This window comes from Homo sapiens, chromosome 20, assembly GCF_000001405.40.
Source record: "Homo sapiens chromosome 20, GRCh38.p14 Primary Assembly".
Classification (NCBI taxonomy): Eukaryota; Metazoa; Chordata; class Mammalia; order Primates; family Hominidae; genus Homo; species Homo sapiens.
In genome coordinates this window covers 51,504,797-51,526,029 of record NC_000020.11, presented here as the reverse complement: position 1 = coordinate 51,526,029, position 21,233 = coordinate 51,504,797, and the positions used below count along the sequence as shown (strand labels likewise).

General features: G+C 47.4%; 1 protein-coding gene across 12 annotated transcripts in view; it reads left to right on the top strand.

The window, feature by feature from the left end:
- Positions 1 to 21,233, top strand: part of NFATC2 (nuclear factor of activated T cells 2) — a 175,877-nt gene that overhangs the window by 36,810 nt on the left and 117,834 nt on the right. For 7 of the 12 annotated variants that reach the window (NM_001258292.2, NM_001136021.3, XM_017027851.2 and 4 more), the window contains exons 2-3: positions 1,920 to 2,949; positions 9,075 to 9,246. In NM_001258292.2, coding sequence (NP_001245221.1) covers positions 1,920 to 2,949; positions 9,075 to 9,246 — 1,202 coding nt within the window. The remainder of the gene's footprint in view (positions 1 to 1,919; positions 2,950 to 9,074; positions 9,247 to 21,233) is intronic. The other 5 variants (NM_001258295.2, NM_001258294.2, NM_001258297.2 and 2 more) reach the window with 1 other exon arrangement.

Here is a 21,233-nt window from a genome sequence, read left to right as displayed (position 1 = left end):
GCAGAGGGAACCCAAGGCGTCTGAGGCAGGAGCTGCTTAAGTACGGCGAAGAGGTTGGAGGGGTTGTTGCTGACTCAGCTTGGGGAGAAGTGGGGAGTGGTGGGGGTGGGTGGCAGGCCGGGGCACATGCTGCGTTAGTGACTTTAGGTTCCATCTAAAGTGTCCAGAAGCCTTTATAGTAGGTTTTGAGAATGGACATTTTAAAGGCTGCTGCGTGACAAACAGACTGACAGAGCCACAGAGGAAGTGGGGAGGCCAGGGAGGAGATGACTGCAGTAGTCCCCATGGGAGAGGACGGCGGCTTGGACCAGGGTGGATGCGATGGAATGGGGAGACCTGGGAATCTAGTTTCTGTTCTGACAGTGGAGCAGTCAGGGCTGATGATGGATCAGATGTGAGGCATCAGAGTAAGGAGTCCAGGCCGCCCCATGAGCTGGCGGGGAGGTTGGAGGAGCCTCTGATGAGGTGGGGGGCCTTGGAGGTGGAGTTGCTGTGAGGGGTGGGTGGGTGGCACTAACTCCGTGGGAATTTCCCAAGCAGCCCCACGTGCCTGGACCTGTACAGGATGCAGTGAGGCAGGGTGTCTGCTAGAAGAGGGTCAGGCTGAGAATTAAATGACAGTGTGAGGTGATGGGTGGCAGTGTCCTTGGGTGGCTGACATAGAACATTCTACTTGAACAGCATTCTGCAGCGGTAGGGCCTTTCGAGGTGGCAGCAGGAGCCCGGGCTAGGCAGCCGCTAAAAGAGGAAGTTAGGTCATTTTGCAGTCATTGGTTTTATCTTTATTTTAGTGTATTTTATTTTATTTTTGAGACAGAGTCTCACTCTATCACCCAGGCCGGCATGCAGTGGCACAGTCTTGGCTCATTGAAACCTCCGCCTCCTGGTTTTAAGCGATTCTTGTGCCTCAGCCTCCTGAGTAGCTGGGATTACAGGCCTGTGCCACCACGCCTGGCTAATTTTTGTATTTTTAGTAGAGATGGGGTTTCACCATGTTGGCCGGGCTGGTCTCAAACTCCTGACCGCAAGTGATCTGCCCGCCTCAGCCTCCCGAAGTGCCGGGATTCCAGGTGTGAGCCACCACGCCCGGCCTGCATCCATTGGGTCTAATAGTTTGGGTGTCAGGTAACCTCTGTAGCAGTGACCCTGCCTGTTGGGGGGCAAGTGGCTTGCCTGTGGTATTTTTAAGCCTGCTAATTCCGTATCTTTCGGTGGGCCTTTTCCCCGCTCTGGGCCTCAGTTTCCTCATTTGTAAAATGACACAGATGAGACATGAGTCAGGAGCCCTGGATCTGAATGAAGCCACTTCTTGTACTTGGTGTGAAATCTGGGATTGAAGCCCAGGGCACTGTGGGCTGCAGAGTCTGCGCAGCCTCCCTCTGTGTCCTGCGTCCACGTCATGTGTGTAGAGTGCTGCCATAGGCCCTAGATAGGTGCTTTTCAAACTAGGGGTCATGACCTACCGCGCAGACGGGTTAGGGGATCCGTCTAATGGGTCGTGACCAGCGTTGAAGCAAAATCACTCAGGCAGGAGGGAGGGTCTGAGGGTGTCATGTAGCAGGGGTAAGTATTGACTCGAGAGGCTTTTGTTTCAGTTGTGGGTGTATATGGTGGCGTGAATGGGGTTGTGAGATAAAGTGCACTTCTCCGAAGGGTTTCATTTAAAGCCAAGTTTCGAGGCCCTTAGCCCAGGGGTCTTCCAGAACTCATTCTGCTTCGACCTGTCTTCTCCAGGGACCTGGGACAAAGTGGCCTCAGTTTTCTTCTGGTGAGGGACGGAGCTTCTAGCTTGGGGTTTGGCATGGTGGGAATTTGAAAAAAATAAACGACGTGAGACGAAATCCAGCCTGTGATTGCTCTGCACCGGGAGTTCTGTTTTTGAGGCTTAAAAAGAACCCCCTTCCCCCTTCTCTTTCCAGAAGAGCCGAATGCACATAAGGTCGCCAGCCCACCCTCCGGACCCGCATACCCCGATGATGTCCTGGACTATGGCCTCAAGCCATACAGCCCCCTTGCTAGTCTCTCTGGCGAGCCCCCCGGCCGATTCGGAGAGCCGGATAGGGTAGGGCCGCAGAAGTTTCTGAGCGCGGCCAAGCCAGCAGGGGCCTCGGGCCTGAGCCCTCGGATCGAGATCACTCCGTCCCACGAACTGATCCAGGCAGTGGGGCCCCTCCGCATGAGAGACGCGGGCCTCCTGGTGGAGCAGCCGCCCCTGGCCGGGGTGGCCGCCAGCCCGAGGTTCACCCTGCCCGTGCCCGGCTTCGAGGGCTACCGCGAGCCGCTTTGCTTGAGCCCCGCTAGCAGCGGCTCCTCTGCCAGCTTCATTTCTGACACCTTCTCCCCCTACACCTCGCCCTGCGTCTCGCCCAATAACGGCGGGCCCGACGACCTGTGTCCGCAGTTTCAAAACATCCCTGCTCATTATTCCCCCAGAACCTCGCCAATAATGTCACCTCGAACCAGCCTCGCCGAGGACAGCTGCCTGGGCCGCCACTCGCCCGTGCCCCGTCCGGCCTCCCGCTCCTCATCGCCTGGTGCCAAGCGGAGGCATTCGTGCGCCGAGGCCTTGGTTGCCCTGCCGCCCGGAGCCTCACCCCAGCGCTCCCGGAGCCCCTCGCCGCAGCCCTCATCTCACGTGGCACCCCAGGACCACGGCTCCCCGGCTGGGTACCCCCCTGTGGCTGGCTCTGCCGTGATCATGGATGCCCTGAACAGCCTCGCCACGGACTCGCCTTGTGGGATCCCCCCCAAGATGTGGAAGACCAGCCCTGACCCCTCGCCGGTGTCTGCCGCCCCATCCAAGGCCGGCCTGCCTCGCCACATCTACCCGGCCGTGGAGTTCCTGGGGCCCTGCGAGCAGGGCGAGAGGAGAAACTCGGCTCCAGAATCCATCCTGCTGGTTCCGCCCACTTGGCCCAAGCCGCTGGTGCCTGCCATTCCCATCTGCAGGTGAGCAGGGCTTTGAAAATGATTGATTCTGTGGTTTAGTTTTAAGAGATGGTTTTCTGGTTATGAGCATGGGATTCAGAGTCAGGTTTAAGACTGACTTTAAATGGATTTAAATCTTGGCTTGGCCCCTTGCTGGTTGCGAGACCCTGAGACGGAAGTTAAATTCCCGGGCCAGGTTTTTCTCATCTGTAAAATGGGTATAATTCGTGTACCTGACTCACCAGGTGGCTATGAGGATGCAGTCATGATAAATGTAATTGCTCATATGGCACCTGGTTTATTCAAAAAGTGTTTTTCAAACATCTAGGTGGCAGATTCTGTTACATAAGTAATGGAGAGACAGTGGTGAACTAAACAGGCAAAAATTTCTGCTTTCATGGAGCTGACATTCTGGTAGGCACAAAGCAAGCCTTAATATGTAAAATCTATCTCATTATAAGAGGAAGTGATGTTTGTTAGCATCTGCTGTGTGCCGCAGTTATATGGAGGACCTAAAAAAAAAAAAAAGAAATATGTGAGCCAAGGAGCTTAAAGTCTTGGGAAGCTGAGGAGATGTATGTAGATAGCAGAATAGCACGTAGGCTTTGGAGTCTCTTAAGGCTCGCTTTGAGTCCTGCCTCCGCCACTCACTACCTGAGTGAACACGGGCATCTCTGCTGCTGCCTTTCTGCTGCTGTGCTTGTGAAAGACATTGCTAATCAGTCAGCACCCTCTTTCTCATTGGGCACCTTTATGAAGCCGTGCCTAGCGCAGACATCACTAATCAATCAAGAGCTTCCCCCTCCCCGACCCCCCCGCCCCGCTTTTGTACTGAGCACCTTTGTGGTCTTGGTTTACTCCCTGTGAGAAAATAATAGAACCTACCTTGTGTTTTTTTAAAAAATGGATTAGATGAGATGATATATGTGAATCTCTTAGTATAGAGCCTGTGCAGTGATATCCTGGGATACCAAAATCTGAGGATGCTCAGGTCCCTTATGTAAAATGGTATAGTATTTGCATATAACCTATGCACATCCTCCCATATACATTACATCATCTCTAGATGATCATACCTTAGAATACCTAATACAATGCCTGCACACCACATGGACTCAAAGTAGAAACTGCAGCATGGAAAATTCAAATTTTGCTTTTTGGAACTTTATGGAATTTTTTTTCTGAATGTTTTCAATCTGAGGACACAGAACCCATGGATACAGTGGATGAATTGCACTCTCTATGTATGTTATTTCATTTGATTCTCACAGAAACTTGGTTTGTATTATTTTTTATCTTCATTTTGATGAAATGACAAAGGAGGTACATGAGGGCTAAGGCCAGAGATTATCCTATCTGTTCTCCTACATGAGGAATTGGAAGACTCATGCTATTACCACGATCCCTGTGGTTTTCAGGTTATTTTTTATTTTAGCAAATGGAAGCCTTTTATCCCCAATATTAAATTGAGTCCCCAAATAGGCCGGGTGCGGTGGCTCACGCCTGTAATCCCAGCACTTTGGGAGGCCGAGGTGGGCGAATCACCTGAGGTAGCAAATTCAAGACCAGCCTTGCCAACATGGCGAAACCCCATCTCTATTAAAAATACAAAAAATAGCTGGGTGTGGTGGTGCATGCCTGTAATCCCAGCTACTCGGGAGGCTGAGGCAGGAGAATTACTTGAACCTGGGAGGCGGAGGTTGCAGTGAGCCAAGATCATGCCACTGCACTCTAGCCTTCGTGACAGAGTGAGACTCCACCTCAAAAAAAAAATAAAAATAAAAATTGAGTACCTAAATAGATAAAGGTAGAGCTCTTTTGATTGGTGTGGGGTTGAGGGTGGCCTCGGGCCCTGCCCGCTGGGCCTTGTTCACCCCCATACCAGATGAAAATGGACAGCAGGGAGCATCCAGCCTGGCATTTCCTCCACAGCAGGTTCTGAGAACACCAGGGCTACAGTATGTCAGTTGTTGTATCTTTAAAAAAAGGAGTTTCTGGGTTTAAGAGAGTTAAGTAGGTGCCTGTGTGCAGGCCTTCTCAGAGACTTCAGTGTGGACAGAATATGCGGTGATTTCAAAGGCCATTTGGCTACAGAGTTCTGAGTTTGGTGACTGAAGTTTCACAGGGCTATCTTAGAAAATGCTGCCAGGCACAGTGGCTCATGCCTGTAATCCCAGCACTTTGGAAGGCAGAGGCGGGCGGATCACCTGAGGTCGGAGTTTGAGACCAGCCTGACCGACATGGAGAAACCCTGTCTCTACTAAAAATACAAAATTAGCCGGGTGTGATGTTGCATGCCTGTAATCCCAGCTACTCGGGAGGCTGAGGCAGGAGAATCACTTGAACCCAGGAGGCGGAGGTTGCAGTGAGCTGAGATGGTGCCATTGCACTCCAGTCTGGGCAGCAAGAGTAAAATTGTCTCAAAAAAATAAAAATAAATAATAATAATAATAAATAAAAATAAATAAATAAAAAGGAAACATCCTTTTCTTCTTTTTCCCTTTTTCTTTCCTTCCTGCTTTCCTTCTCTTTTTACCCTTCGTTCACTTTTCCTTCATTCTTTCATGAAATGCAGCCAGGCACTGTGCTAGTCACTGGGGAGACAGGTGCAAACTAGACACACACCCCCGTACCACACGGAAATGGACTGTAAAAAAAAAAAAAAGAAAATCCTGATCAAGACTAACTCCTGGTACAGATTGAGAAATTTGGGCTCAGAGAGGTGAAGTGACAAGCCCCATGATCACCAGCTAGTTAATGACTACATTGAAAATTAGAATCTGGGATTCTTAACTCCTTGTTCTTTGTGCTACGTAGACAGGTCAGTCTCCAAACCATGATTTTATTTAGTGGTTGAGAATAGGGAGGGACACTGCTATAAAATATGATTATGATACATTTATCGGACACTTTGTTTACAAAATCCTTTCCTCTCCATTAGGCAGGTTGATCAGAGAGGTTTTGAGTGTCAGAGTCCTTTAGTTCCTCACAAGTACCAACCTGTGCCAGCCGATGTGGTCTTTGCAAGAATCTTCTATAAAGTTGAGAGGATGGGGCATCAGGGAAGTCTCTTGATAACATTGATCTCAGCTTATACAGGCAACTCAGCAGAGGGCTGGAATTCAAATCAGAATTTCATGCTGGCTCTGATGCTCTACTTCTTTTTTGTTCTTTTTTTTTTTTTTTTAGATGGAGTCTCGCTCTGTCACCCAGGCTAGAATACAGTGGTGCGATCTCAGCTCACTGCAACCTCTGCCTCCTGGGTTCAAGTGATTCTCCTGCTTCAGCCTCCTGAGTAGCTGGGATTACAGGCACCTGCCACCACACCTGGCTTTTTTTTTTTTTTTTTTAGTAGAGATGGGGTTTCACCATGTTGGTCAGGCTGGTCTCAAACTCCTGACCTCGTCATCTGCCTGCATTGGCCTCCCAAAGTGCTAGGATTACAGGTGTGAGCCACCGCACCCGGTCTTTTTTGTGTTGAGATGGAGTCTTGCTCTGTCGCCGAGGCTGGAGTACAGTAGCTGATCTCGGCTCACTGCAACCTCCGCCTCCTGGGTTCAAGTGATTCTCCTGCCTCAGCCTCCCGAGTAGCTGGGACTACAGGCACACACCACTATGCCTGGCTAATTTTTTTTTTTTTTTTGTATTTTTAGTAGAGGCAGGGTTTCACCATGTTGGCCAGACTGGTCTTGATCTCCTGACTTCATGATCCACCCGCTTCAGCCTCCCATAAGTGCTGGGATTACAGGCATGCTCTACTTCTTCAGATTGTATTTCAGCATCAAATACCTACTTCGGAACCAAACAAAAGTATAAATTGATACCTGGGGATATGCCGCTGAATTTTCTTCTCACAAAATTTTTGGTGCTTTAAAGCATATTAATACAGGGCTAAAGTGGTTTTTTAAGGAGTCATAGTTTGTAAACCTTTAAAAACTTTTCACTTGTGTATATGATATGGGTAAAAGTGTTTGACACGTGTGGCTCGTTGGTTGCAGGCAGAAGCTTGAAAGCATGTTGGCACTGTAACTAAGGTAAAATAAAGGCACTTTGGATACCCTAAGACTGCAGAGTGGCCAGGCGCAGTGGCTCACACCTGTAATCCCAGCTGGCCCCGCCACAAAATGTTTAAACTTAGCTAGGCCTGGTTGCATACACCTGTGTTCCCAGCTACTCAGGAGGCTGAAGCAGGAGGATAGTTTGAGCCCAGGAGTTTGAGGCTACAGTGAGCTATGATTGCACCACTGTACTCCAGACTGGATAACAGCAAGAGCCCATATTTTAAAAAAAGAAAAAATTAAAAATATACTTCATGGTTCATGTCATAGCCCTAGAGAGTGAAAAATTTGCAGTAGTCAATAAATGAATGAGTAGTTAAATATTCTTTAAAGTCAACTCTATTTCATTGTAATTTTTGTTTTCTTTTTATCATTGTATCAAACTATATGGAAATCATATGGTTAGATGTGAGTGATTATTTGATAATGTTAGTCCATTTGAATCCATTTTCGATATTTCAAAATTAAAGAATATGAAACTTCAAAAAAAAGGACTGCAGGGTAAGAGGGATTTCAGGAGGCAATGTGGTTGGAAAGAAGGGGAGGAGATTTGCTTGCACAGGGAGGATATGATTATAAGTTGGATGAAATGTTTAAGTTGGACTCTGGCACAGATGAAGTTTATGGAGGTGCTACCCCCTGGGCTCCCCTTGGTACTGCTGTGATAGAGAAGACATAGAATTGGCTTTATTGCAAGTGCTTAACCAAGCCCAGCTGATAGTGTCAGCTCCTAGCAGCCCTGAGCTAACTGGGAAAAAATACTCTGATGAATGATTTCTGCCATATGTGAAAACTCAGGACATGGTGACATAAATCCATAGTGATGCTTTTCAAAATTCCCAGGGGAAAAGAAGGGACAGCAGTTAGAAATATGCTAGAACTAACATAAGCTTCATTAATTGAGAAGTTGCTCACACTGTCTTTATCAAGGTGGAAGAGAAAGCAAAGAGGAAGATCTCTACCCTGTGAACAGTTCTACCTGTCATGTGTAAGAAATATGTGCTGCCTCAGCATTTTGTTCACATACAATCATGCCCCCCATGATCACATTTTGGTTAGTGATGGACCCCATATGTGGGGGTGGTCCCGTAAGATTATAATACTGTTTTGTTTATGTTTTTTTTTTTTTTTGAGACAGTCTCTCTGTTACCCAGGCTAAAGTGCAGTGGCGCAATTTCAGCTGACTGCAACCTCCACCTCCCAAGTTCAAGTGATTCTCATGCCTCAGCCTCCTGAGTAGCTAGAATTACAGGCATGCACCACCAAGCCCAGCTAATTTTTGTATTTTTAGTAGAGACAGGGTTTCGCCATGTTGGCCAGGCTGGTCTCGAACTCCTGGCCTCCAGTGATCTGCCCACCTCAGCCTCCCATAGTGTTGGGATTACAGGCATGAGCCACTGCACCCAGCCTTGTGTTGTTTTTTGGTTTTGTTTTGTTTCTTTTTTTTTTTTGAGACAGGGTCTCACTCTGGTCCCTCAGTCTGGAGTGCAGTGGTGCAATCACAGCTCATTGCAACCTTGACCTCCTGGGCTCAGATGATCTTCCCACCTCAGCGTCCCAGGTAGCTGGGACTATAGGCATGCACCACATTGCTTGGCTGATTTTTTTTGTATTTTTAGTAGAGACAGGGTCTCTCCGTGTTGCCCAGGCTGTCCTCAAATTCTTGGGCTTAAGTGATCCACCCATGTTGTCTTCCCAAAGTGCTGAGATTAAGTCATGAGCCACCACACCCAGCCATAATACTGTATTTTTAGTGTACCTTTTCTGTGTTTAGATAAGTTTAGATACTCAAATAATTCCCATTGTGTTACCATTGCCTACAGTATTCAGTACAGTCACATGCTGTACAGGTTTGTAGCCTAGGAGCCACTATACCATATAGTGTAGGTATGTAGTAGGCTGTGCCATCTTGGTTTGTGTAAGTGCACTCTGATGTTCACATAATGGTGCATTTCCCGGAACGTATCCTCATTGTTGAGCAATACATGACTGTATCCATGATTTTCAGAAAGGGCCGTTTACAATTATTGTACAAGTTGACTAATTTTGGTTTATTGCACACATGGCTGATTTTATTTTCTCCTTTAGCATCCCAGTGACTGCATCCCTCCCTCCACTTGAGTGGCCGCTGTCCAGTCAGTCAGGCTCTTACGAGCTGCGGATCGAGGTGCAGCCCAAGCCACATCACCGGGCCCACTATGAGACAGAAGGCAGCCGAGGGGCTGTCAAAGCTCCAACTGGAGGCCACCCTGTGGTTCAGGTATGGACTTGAATGCTCTTCCTTTTGTGTGTGGTGTTTGTCACTAAGAGATTCACTTCTGCTGACCCACTGTTTGTTGCTTGTTAAGGTGAGGTATGTGTCTCAGCCTCTTACTCCTTTGAGGAATGAGAAATATGAGATTAAATTAGCATTAGAAGCTAATCCAGCTACTCATAAGCCAGAAGAGAAAGTCTTCTTCAGCAGGATAAGGATAGAAATGATATTCATGTGCCCGGATGCTTCTTCCCTTCTCTTTCTGATGGAGAAACTGCTAGAGTTTTGCAGAGGTTTGTGTGTTGACAGAAGGTTTCTGAAACCATCACCTTAAGTTTCAGATGAAGAGTTCATTAAGAAAAAATGGTAATTTTTGTAAAATATAGAAAAGTAAGAAAAATTAAAACTATACATTATCAAACTACCTAAAATAGCTATATTAGTATTTTTATATATTGCCTTTCTTTTTTCTATTCACAAACACGCCAGCCTCTGTTACCATATATTTCTATTCTTAATTCTATAGTGAACATGTAGATTGTACTCTGATTTTTTAAGTTTACATTTTGCCATGAGCATTTCCTTTTGTTTTTTTCTTAATCAGTAGCTTTTTTGTGTGTCTGTGGCTTTTGATTTAACCTCAGATTTTTTTTTCAAAATAAGTAGAGAAGTGTGCCTATTTTTCCCCAAAATAATTGGAGTTGAAATATTCTTAATTGTATAATCTGGTTAACCAGGAACAACTGACTGGTGCCCACTAACAAGTCAATTAACTAGAACCTTTAATACATTTAAATTAATATAACTTTTTTTGGTATTTGCCTTAAAGTAGAAGTATCCTATTAATATGATAAAACTTGGTTCTTAATCTATAGTGTGCATCAGAACCTCTAGGGTGGTTCTTAAAAATTCAGATTGTTGGGCATTCTGAAACTAAATTAGAAACTATATAACATGAGTAAAGCCCAGGTAAACAAACAAACAAATGAAAAACAGCAAACTCCCCAAATCTCCACAGGTGCTTTGGGTGTGTACCTCTGATTAAGGACATCTATGATAATATTAAGAACTTGTAAGTCCTGACAATTGCTTTTTTTTTTTTTTAAATCAGACACCATAGCCATCTTGGAATCTGTTTCTATTCATTGAGTTTTGGTTCTTGACCATGAGTCCCATTTTCCTGTTGTGTTGCCTGTCTAGTAGTTGTCGACTGCATTCTGACATCGTGATGATATATACTGGATGTGGTAGACATTCTGAACTTTCTTTCGTGCTTCATCAGGTGGATCTGTGGAAAGCACAAGGTGTATCTAACTTGATGGGGCTTAGATTTTAAACTGTCTTCTCTGTATTTTATTTGAGGATTGGTTTTAGGCCCCATTAGGGCAGGCCTGGAGTAGCCCTTCCTCTGAGGCATGTGCCTGTTCTGAAGGCATGGCCATTTTGGATGCTTGGTGGGGAGGTCTCTTTAATCTGGTGGGCTGGAATTCCCATATGCCAGCTCCGCTGCACTCTTAGTCTCTCTGTTCTCTCCACCCCATAGCAGCCCCTCTCTGGTAAACCTCGCACCATCTCTCCCTGTGCTTACACAGCCCAGCCCTTGGCCAAAGAGTTGAGGGTTTCCCCCAGCAGCTTCCTCCTCTCTGATGCCACCGATTCCAGCAGTTTCCACAGCCTGGCACTCTGAGCGGTGCCAGGAATCCAGGATTATTTCAGGAATCCTCAGCACAGCGGGACCACTGTGCTCTGCTCAGATGCTACTTCCTGCACGTGGCAGGGGAGCTGTCCCCAGGCAGAGAGCTGAAATGAAGGTGGGCTCACCTGTGCACTTCCTCTCCCTTGGGGACCGCAGTCTTCTGATTCCTGCCGTCCAATCCTGAGAGCAATTGCCTTATGTAATATATATATGTATTTTTTGACAGAGTCTATCACTCTGTCACACAGGCTGGAGTGCAGTGGTGTAATCTTGGCTCACTGCAACCTCTGCCTCCTGGGTTCAGGTGATTCCTCTGCCTCAGCCTCCTGAGTAGCTGGGATTACAGGTGTGCGCCACCATGCCTGGTTAATTTTTGTATTTTTAGTAGAGACAGGGTTTCACTATATTGGTCTGGCTGGTCTTGAACTCTTGATTTCAAGTGATCCACCCACCTCGGCCTCCCAAAGTGCTGGGATTATAGGCGTGAGCCACCGTGCCTGGCCAAGTGCTCTGTTTTATGTGTCCACAGCTCCATGCACCTTTCCTTCATGCTACCTGCCACTACTTGTAATTCTAACATTTGCATAATTATTTTGTCAATGTCTCTCTCTCTTAGACCATGAGCTTTGTTTAAAAGAGACCACAACTTCCTTCTTATTCTTCATTGTATATCACCATCAAGCACAGTTTGCTGCCACAAACATAGCAGGCACTCAACAAATACTTGGAGAATGAATCTGCTCATTAAATGCATTGGCCAAACAATTTTAAGTCTTAAGGAGAGAGAATCTGTATCCATTTCTGGCTTTGTGGCATCTTCATTCACTGATTATTCAAAAGATGTTTATTGAGCACCTACTATGTACCAGGCATGGTGCTTGATTCTGGGTTATGATATGAACAAAACAGCTGGAAATTCTCACCATCATGAGCTTACATTTTGGCAAGATGATAGTAATAATAAACATTTAGAAAACATTTGCTGCCTGTGAGATCCTGTTCCAAGTGCTGCATATGTGTTAACTTATTTAATCCTCAAAAGAGCCTTATGATGCAGGTAACAGGTCAAGTAGCTGTCAAGGACTTGTTCAAGGTTATGGCTATTAAATGGTGGAGCTGGGATTTGGATACCGCAAGCTCTATTTGCAGCACAGTAGATCTGATCATCCACGTCTCTTTGCAGACCAGCTCTTCCTGCCTTCTCACTTGTGCAGAAAAAGCCTGAAGGGGAAATGCCCACGCCTCCTGCGGGCCACTCCATTCCCCCTAGTTTTGCATGCTGTTCCAGTATGAGCCTTGTCATCACCTCATGGGAGCTAAATCCTGATTCTCAGGGAGATGCTGATTGGCCCTGTCTTGGGAGGGTGCCGCCCATTGGTCCAGTAGGCTGTGGCCTGGAGGTTGGGCTGCATGAGGAGTGAGGCTCAGCTCACCCATTCATCAGGGGCTGGGGCCCTGGAAATTTCCAGAGAAGGGAATGGGCTGAGTGTACAGTCCAGGAGACACCTGCTAGGCTGTCCCTGAAGTTTGTGCTTCTCCCTCTGATAGCTCCCAAGGACTCTTGCCTCTTCATGCATGTGACTTTGTTTGTTTGTTTATTTGTTTGCTTATTTTAGAGATAGGATCTTGCTTTGTCACCCAGGCTGGAGTGCAGTGGCATGATCACTGCTCACTGCTGCCTTGAATTTCTGAGCTCAAGTGATCCTCCCACCTCAGCCTCCTGAGTAGTTGGGACTATAGGCGTGTTACCACCATGCCCAGCTAATTTTTTCCTTTTTTGTAGAGACATGGTCTCCCTGCGTTGCTTAGGCTGGTCTTGAACTCCTGGGCTCAAGTGATCCTACCACCTCATCCTCCCAAAGTGTTAGGATTACAGTGTGAGCCACCACAAGTGGCCCAAGTGCCTGTAACTTTGAAGATCCAATATATGATTTAAAAACTTGCAGACAAGTCTCTTTAAAAGACAAAAAGTGGAGTCTTTTTAAAAAGTCATTTGAATAGATTATGTTTTTTCAAAATAAGTCATGCTAATTACTGATTTTTAGCATGGGAAGTCAGTTTAAAAAAAAAAACTTCTTGGAAAAATTGAGAAAAGAGTGGACTTTAAGAGGATTGCTGCTCTTACCCTTCAAGGGAGTGTGAAAACTCCTTCTGGAATCTGCAGCACTGCCCCTTTCATATCCAGAAGAGCAGTGTAGCCTGCTTTGTACCTTGCCTGAATGCTTCCGCCGGCTTCTCTGTTGATTTCTGTCTCACTCTTTATCTCTGTATCTGTTTCTATTTCTGAACCACAGCCTCTTCTCCCCTCTCAGTTACTCAGTCTCCACCCTTCTCTCTTTTATTTGCCTCACTATAGAACTTCATTCTTTTTTCATGCCTAGTGGTTTTAAGCTCCTCTTTATATAAAAAGAAAATGAATATAAGACCATTTCATTTTTTATCCTTAAGTGTACAATTAAAAATCTTAAACATATGCCATGCTCAGCTGTTCTCTTCATTGCTTTTTTTGAATGGTACTTGGTCTTGGGAGAAAGTTTGTTCCCAAACCTTAAGTGCTTGTCAGATCTCATGACTCATTTGTATGGGGAATGTCTCACTGGGGACCTGCCATGTGCCAGGCACTGTGCTGGTTGCAGGTGATACAACGTTGGTGAGATCAGCACAGCTCATGCCCTGAGGGAGCTCAGGGGCTGCGGGAAAGTGGACTAGGATGGTTTGAGTTGGTCAGGGAGGCCTGAGAGGCCAGATGGCGGCCACTTGGAGGGGATCTGTGGGCTGATGCCTGGACTCACGGTGGGACGTGATGGCTGATTAGAAGCTTGTCCATTGGATTCACCGCTTGGGAGGAACTGCTTCTACAGAACAAACCATGACAAGAGATGGTACTTGGAAGACCTACTTTAGAAAGAGTGTCTCGTTGAGGAGGTGACTTGTCAGCTGGGACCTGGAACAGGTCATAGAACCAGCAAAGAGACAAATGATGTCCTCCTCCTCCTCCGTGCTCTCTGTCTCTCTTAGTCGGGGGAGAGTGTTCTACACACAGAGCACAGCACATGCAAAGGCCCTGAGGCAGGGAAGGACTGTGTGTGGCTGAAGAGCTGAAGGAGGGCCAGTGTCATTCAAGTTTAGCTTGCAGGGTGATGGTTGGCAGGCCCAAACTGTGCAGGGCTTAAAAGCCAAGGTGAGGAGATGAAATTTTGCTTATTCCAGGGCAAGGGGAAGACATGATACGTTTTGAGTAGAGGAGGAACTTGATTCTGATTTAACATTTTATAGATCACTCAGGTTTCTCCCTGGGGACTAGATTAGAAGAAGTTACGGAAGAAGCAGGGAGATGAGATTGTTAGCCTGTGGCAGTACCAGGGGAAAGATCAAGGTGGTAAGGACTAGAAGGTGGCAGTGGGAGCGGAAGCTATGGACTCTATAATGTGATCTTCAGGACTTAGGTATGGGAGGTAAAGGAGCAACTGAGTGGATGGTTCGGTTGGATGGATGGCGGAGAAGGACTTGGGAAAGAAAGTGTTTTCTTGGGGGAAGATTGCAAGTTCTCTTTGGGGCATAGAAGGTACAAAGGGCTTCCAAGGCACACGAGCAAAGATGTCAAGTAAACAGTTGGATATATGAGCTTGGAGCTCAGAAGCAAAGTCCTCAACTTGCTCTCAGGCCTGTGGGATGCCTCGGGGCCACACGCTGCATCACCAGAGGCCCCAGCAAGCACCCACTTGCAAGGACTGACTGTCCACACCCTCAGTAACAATGCGCCTCTCTCTAGAAGCAGTGGACTAAGGAAGAAGCAAAGAAGAGACTGTATAAACAAGATCACAAACAGACAAGCCCAGGAGGGCCAGGCAATGAAAGGAAATGACTGAACTGACCAAATGTCAGGGAGCAACAGGGGGTGGTGGGGAGTAGGGCAGAGCGGCATGTGAGTCTTGCCTCAGGAGGCAGTTGCTGTTCAGTCCCTATAGGCTGTGACATGTGGGAATGTGGGTGGAATGTTGCCAGGTTTTATAGGTTTTGTTTTTTCTTCTTTCCCAAGAGCTAGGAGTTGGAATTTTTATGTGAAATTTCTGATTTTTCAGTTTTGGCCATAAATCAAACTTTGGGTTGAATTTGGCTCATGGCAAATATGCTTCAGTTCACATCATCTGGAATAAATAAGAATGGTGCTACTTCAAGGTTTATCAAATAGGAAGGGAGATAAGAGAGAGGTTATATTTATATGATTTCTAAGAATTGTCTAGTTACAGAACGAACCCTGTTAACAGCCGGATCGAGGTAGTTTCTCTTATAAAACCCTAAATCTCAGGTGAGTGTGGTGGCTCACACCTGTAATCCCAGCTACTTGGGAGGCTGAGGCAAGAGGATTGCTTGAGCTCAGGAGTTCAGGGCGGCAGTCCGCTGTGATCGTGCCACTGCACTCCAGCCTGGGTGACAGAGTGAGACCATGTCTCTAAAAAAACAAACAAATAAATAAAAAAGTTCTAAATCTTATTGAAGTAGAACAAGTCTAGGGTTCTTTCAGAGGAACCAATGAATCTTAATGCACAAGCCTGACTTTGGTCTGCAGGTATCAGATGAAAAGGGGAACCACTTGATTCATCTCAAAAGAGCCACACGCTTTTGGTGGAGCCCTGCCATCATTCCTCGCCCTGTTTCAGGACAGGATGCAGTGGTCCTCCGGTGGACAAAACATCCATTCAGAGCGGTTTTGCAAGGTTGGGCTTTAAGTGTTTCCATAGTTCTTCAGCTTATGAGGTCTAATAATATCCCAGTTGAGAGTGGCCTGTATAACGCCATTGTCATTTAATCCTTTCCTGGCGGCTTCCAAACCCTTTAACCATATTCTGCACAGAAATTCCCTGGAGGGGATACTTTGGTATATTCCTTATCCATCCTTGTGCTGGGGCTTTCAAAAAATGTTATTCTTACAACTCTCTGGGATGCATGTTTAATGGAAAGAATAATCAGAACGCCATCCTTTTAGGGAGTGATCAAAATATGAGAACGTGGAAGCGTCGCACTCACCTCCAAAGAGTCCTCTTGGTTCTTTCAAGCAGATGTTCAGACATGTGGAAAAAACATGGGTAGCTCTGTTACGAGGAATTCCTTGCAGATGCGGAAACCCGATGGCCATTTCATTCCCGGTAACAGTAATGAGCTTTGCAGGGAGGTGAGTGAGGGCCTGAGGCCCACCTGTCCAGGCTACTGCCTCCTGGGCTGGAGGAGCTGGTAAAGTCTCCAGTCTTTCAAAACCTCATAAAATGGATTATGGGACGTGGATGCTCATTCTGTTGGATTTCAGCTTTTATGCTAACTGCAACTTACTTGAAATGATATCTAAGGAAGGGAAGAAGCAAGCCAGATGGGATTTTTTCCTTTCCAGGTGAAAGCTGCACTCGTGACAGTAAGCAGTGCTCCTTTAGCAGTTGGCTGGGTGTGTTAGCTTCTATTTGTCTAATAAAATTTTGTGTTTGGGGACGTGAGACAGGAAGTAGTTCTTGCTGATGCTAATTTGTCTTGATCAGGGCTGCTGTGTTGGCATCTACAGAAGGTTCCATTGGACCTCCTGGGGAGGGGAAGGGAAAGAGGTGGTGGCCGGGTCACTCAGGCTTCCAAAAAATTGGAGGAGGAGAATGTTCTGAGATCACTGGGGTTCATTTGCTCATTTATTAAAAATACTTACCAAGCACCTACTGTGTGCTTGGCACTGGGAATATGGCAGTGAACCACAGGCAAAAATCCCTGGCCCTGTGGAGCTGATGTGCTGGCTAGGGGGAGATAGCAATATAGCTTATAAATAGGAAAATTTTAAATAGTATGTTAAATAGGAAAATGAAATAGTATGTTGGGAGGTGATAAGTCCTATGGGGAAAACTATCAGGCCAAGGAGAATTGGGAGTGGTTTGATGGATCTCCCTGGGAAAGCCACATTTGGGCAAAGAAGGAGGTGCCCACGTGGAAGCTGCAGGGACCTCTCCAGGCTGAGGAGAGAGCAGGGCTGAGTTGGGTGACATCTTGAACAGAGAGGAGGCCTGTGTGGGAAGGGCAGGGGAAGGGGAAGGATAGGGGGGCGGATCGTGGGCCTCGCACATGTTTAGTTAGAGGACTTGGACTCTGAGCGAGGCGGGAGCTGGGAGGGCCTGGCTTGACGTAGGTGTCAGCAGGATCCCTCTGCTGGGGTGTGGACAGGGAGAAGCTGCTGCAGAGGCCCAGGCCAGAGGGGATGGTGGCTGGACCAGGGTGGGGGCATGGGGGAGCAGGAGAAGGGGTTAGAGTCAGAGCATGTTTTGAAAGTCAGGCTAACTGGATTTTTTTGAGACTGGCTGCAAGAGGGGTGGCATCTGTCTGTCTGGGGCTGTAGCCTTGGGAAAGGCCAGAGTCTCTAGGGACCCTGTTCATCCCTGCCGAGACTCCTGCTATTTTTAGAGGGAAAGCATCTTTTAGAGGTGACTTGATGTAGCCTTTTCACTTCAAGATGGAGGCGGGGATGGGGTGGGGAGTAGCAGAGCGGGGTGTGTGATGTGGGGGTTCTGAGGCCGACTTTTGAGGAGCCATCCTCACCACCTCCTCCTTGTCTATACCAGTCTTTTGATGAGACTGGTGATTTCATTAAAATTTGAAAAAGACTACAGTCCAAACCAGGTACACCCGTGGGCCAGTTGTGGCACTGCTCTCTGCCCCGCCGCACGTGTCCCCGGCTGAGGGATGCCCGCAGTGGTCGAGGATGGACTTGTGAAACGATTGAGACCTGCACCCTGGCCTCCGAGGTGAGAGGTGGAGAGAGGGGGAGGGTGCGCCAGGGTCGGGGCTGGCGCAGGCAGAGAGGTGGCGTGGTGAGACCGGCCCGCCTGCTAACTCATCTTCTAACTGAAGACACGGAGGTTCACTGAGGGGTGCTTTCAGCCCACAGTAGAAGGGAGATTGTCAGGAATGAGCCTCAGTAAAGTGTTGTCCCCAGACATAGGCAGAAAACAGAAGGCTTCCAGAATCTTGGAGAAATAGCTGTTGCCAAAAGGGAGATTAAGTCTGAAACTTGCAGTATTTCTGGCAACCAAGAGGAACAATATAGAAGAAACTTTATTTGTGTCACAAATAAATGTTGGGGCCCTCGTGTGTGCTGGGCAGGGTGGCATAATGGCTGGAGCTACACTTCACCATGTGCTTTCTTTAGAGTGACCTAGTTAGTCTTTGCAGCGATGCCATAGAGTGTAGGTGGTAGGATTACTATGCTCATTTTACAGGCAAGGAAACTGGGACACAGTTCGGGTAAGCAGCTTGCCAGGGGTCACCCCCAGCCAGCGCGCGATGCTGCTTGATTGGGGCATAGGACGTCTGCAGCCACAGCCCATGTTGTTGACCACTGGCCCATGCTGCCTCTTGGAAGTAGACGAAGCGGGTGGTTCGAAGTGAGGCAGCTCTAGGGTTTGGTAGCTTTGGGACTCTGGGAGACTCACTGGGCAGTAGTTTCTTCAATGATAAAGTGATGTAGACTTACGTCTGTCAGGCTATTTGTTTTGTGTTTGTTGAGCATAGTTAGGATGCTAAACAAAAGTTCCAGTGTGATCTTTGGCACAGAGAAGGCATTTCATCTGTTGTTCTTTCGTTGAGAGAGAAGGCCATCTAGACATAGATCACTTTTGAGCTCTACGAGCCTTAGATTCCTGAGCCTGTTCCAGCTTTTTCTGGTTGAATTAACCACGTCTGAGACCAGGCTATGATACGGAGGGGGCTCTGAGAGTTCTGAGAGTTGTTTATTTACACGCTGTTTGTTACAGACATGATCTTAGCTCATCCTTGCAACCACATGGTGAGTCGGGGCTGCTATTATTCCTGTTCGACGAGGGGTGAGAGGCACAGGGAAGTGAAGCTCACATACCTAAAGTCAGGCAGCTGGTCAGCAATGAAGCCCTGGCCTTGGCTTTGAACTTCTGGGTTCTTATCTTTCACTCACCCACTCACTCATTCATCCACCTGCTGGCAGCAGCATCACGCCCCAGGCATGGGGTACAATGAGCACATGGGCTGAGCCCAGACGCCTGTGGAGCGCTCCAGCCGGGGCTGGATGTGAGAGTGAGATGGGACAGGCTTTAGAAAGGGTCCTCTGCGGCAGCTCAGCGCAGTGCCTGGCTGGCCATGTGACCTGAGTCCTGGACCTAGGGTCAGGCATTCAGGTTCTGCCCTTGCCTCCGCCCTCGCCACTGAGGGACCTTAGGTGAAGCTGATTTTCTCTGATTATATGGGAAAGGAGACATCTGCTTTAGGTGGGTTTCTAAGCACCTGTCAGCTGCAACATGCCACAAGAGGGGACCATGACCACACCTGGGACCACTTCGCAGGCCCCCGAGCCATCTCGCTGCAACCCGTCCGCAGGCCGAGGCTGATGTTCATAGGAGTGTCCGTGTCACCAGCTGGCCCTGCTGCCCTTCTGGTACCCTGTGGGTTTAGTGGGTGTGGAGGCCAAGACCTCTTTATTGAACATTGAGCATTTTCTAATTTAGTCCCATGAATGAGACTCCTAACGGCCTCGGAAGGCACTAGCTCCGTTGACAATAAAGTCATGAACTGGAGCATGTGGGGAGGTGGGGCTGGGTGGGTGGGGAGGAACACGGGGAGGTGATGGCTTCTCACGGGGCTCTGTTTCCTCTGGATCCTGGGAGACATTGCGAATGTCAAAGTCATTCATTCTGAACCTCCTAGAAGACTATGGGCCGACTCTAGCAATAGTCATGCATGTTTACTGAGCACTTACTATCTGACAAGCACATGATGTGGAATGGCTCAATGGCTTGGGCAGGCATGCAGCCTCTGCTCTGTGAATGAGGAAACCAAGGCTCAGAGGCATTGAGCCTCACCTTCCCCAACGAGCACCTCATCGCCAGTGATGAGCAGGCTGACCCTGGCCGAGCTTTTCCTGTGTGCCTGCTTGGAGAGATAGTGGCGCTGCCATTAACCCCATTTACAGCTGAGGAAACTGAGGCTCGGAGAAGCTGAGTGGCTTTTTCAAGGTTGCATTGCTCTTCAGGAGGCTGAGACGAATGCCTGCCTCCCAGGGTCATTGCAAAGGTTAAATGGGTATTAAATTGGTGAGGTGCCAAAACAGGGCCCTGCCTGCGATGAGAGCTCAAGATATGCTCATTGTTTTTCTTATTAATTTGTCCTCTGAACCATCGTGTTAGGATTTTAAAAAGGAGCATTTGTTCTCATGTGGAGGCTTTAGTTTCATGCCGCGACCTCTGAGCTGGCATGGGTGTGAGTTAGGGGCAGACGGTGTGGAGGGCGTTCCCTCTCACCATTTCTTATGTGTTCTGTGCGCAGCTCTTGTCCTCAAACGATGCCACGACAACGACACCCAGCCTGCAGCCTGGGAAACTGATACTCTTGAGGTCAAAGGACTTCCTCAAGGCCAAGCATCTGGGATGTGGGAGAGCTGAACGTAAAAGCATTCTGTTGGGCACTTTGGCCAAGCCATTTCCATTGCACGGTGTGGTTCTCAAGTCCACAGCTTAGCGGGGGCCTATTCTGAATACTGGCACAGGTTCGAAAAATTTCATTCGTATGCATGTGTATATGTATACACAGAGACACATACAAATACACATATAAATTATATATATTCATATATATATATATACACACACCTACACATATATATACAATGTGTATGTACACCGATATGTATTTGTGTGTCTGTGCCCCTGTATTTTTATTCAATTATTTTACTTTATTTTTAGCTCTTTAATGTGTATTCATTTTTTTAAAAGTACAGGAAATGGCCAGACGTGGTGGCTCACGCCTGTAATCCCAGCACTTTGGGAGGCCGAGGTGGGCAGATCACAAGGTCAAGAGATCGAGTGAGACCATCCTGGCTAACACAGTGAAACCCTGTCTCTACTAAAAAAATACAAAAAAATTAGCCAGGCATGGTGGCGGGCGCATGTAGTCCCAGCTACTCGGGAGGCTGAGGCAGGATAATGGTGTGAACCCGGGAGGTGGAGCTTGCAGTGAGCTGAGACCGCACCACTGCACTCCAGCCTGGGTGACAGAGCGAGACTCCGTCTCAAAAAAAAAAAAAAAAAAAAAAAAAAAAAAAAGGAACTAGATAGCACTCTTCATGACCTGGAGTGAACTACTCTTATTGCTGGTGTATTTCTTTTTAGTCTTTTTTTTCCCCTGCGCCTGCACACTTGAGCTCACAAAACTCAGCTCCTGCTGTTCTCACATATTTGAGTCTATATCAGGTTATTTTGAAGACTGCAGGGGAGGTGACAGCATTTACTGAGTAAGTTTAAGTGCA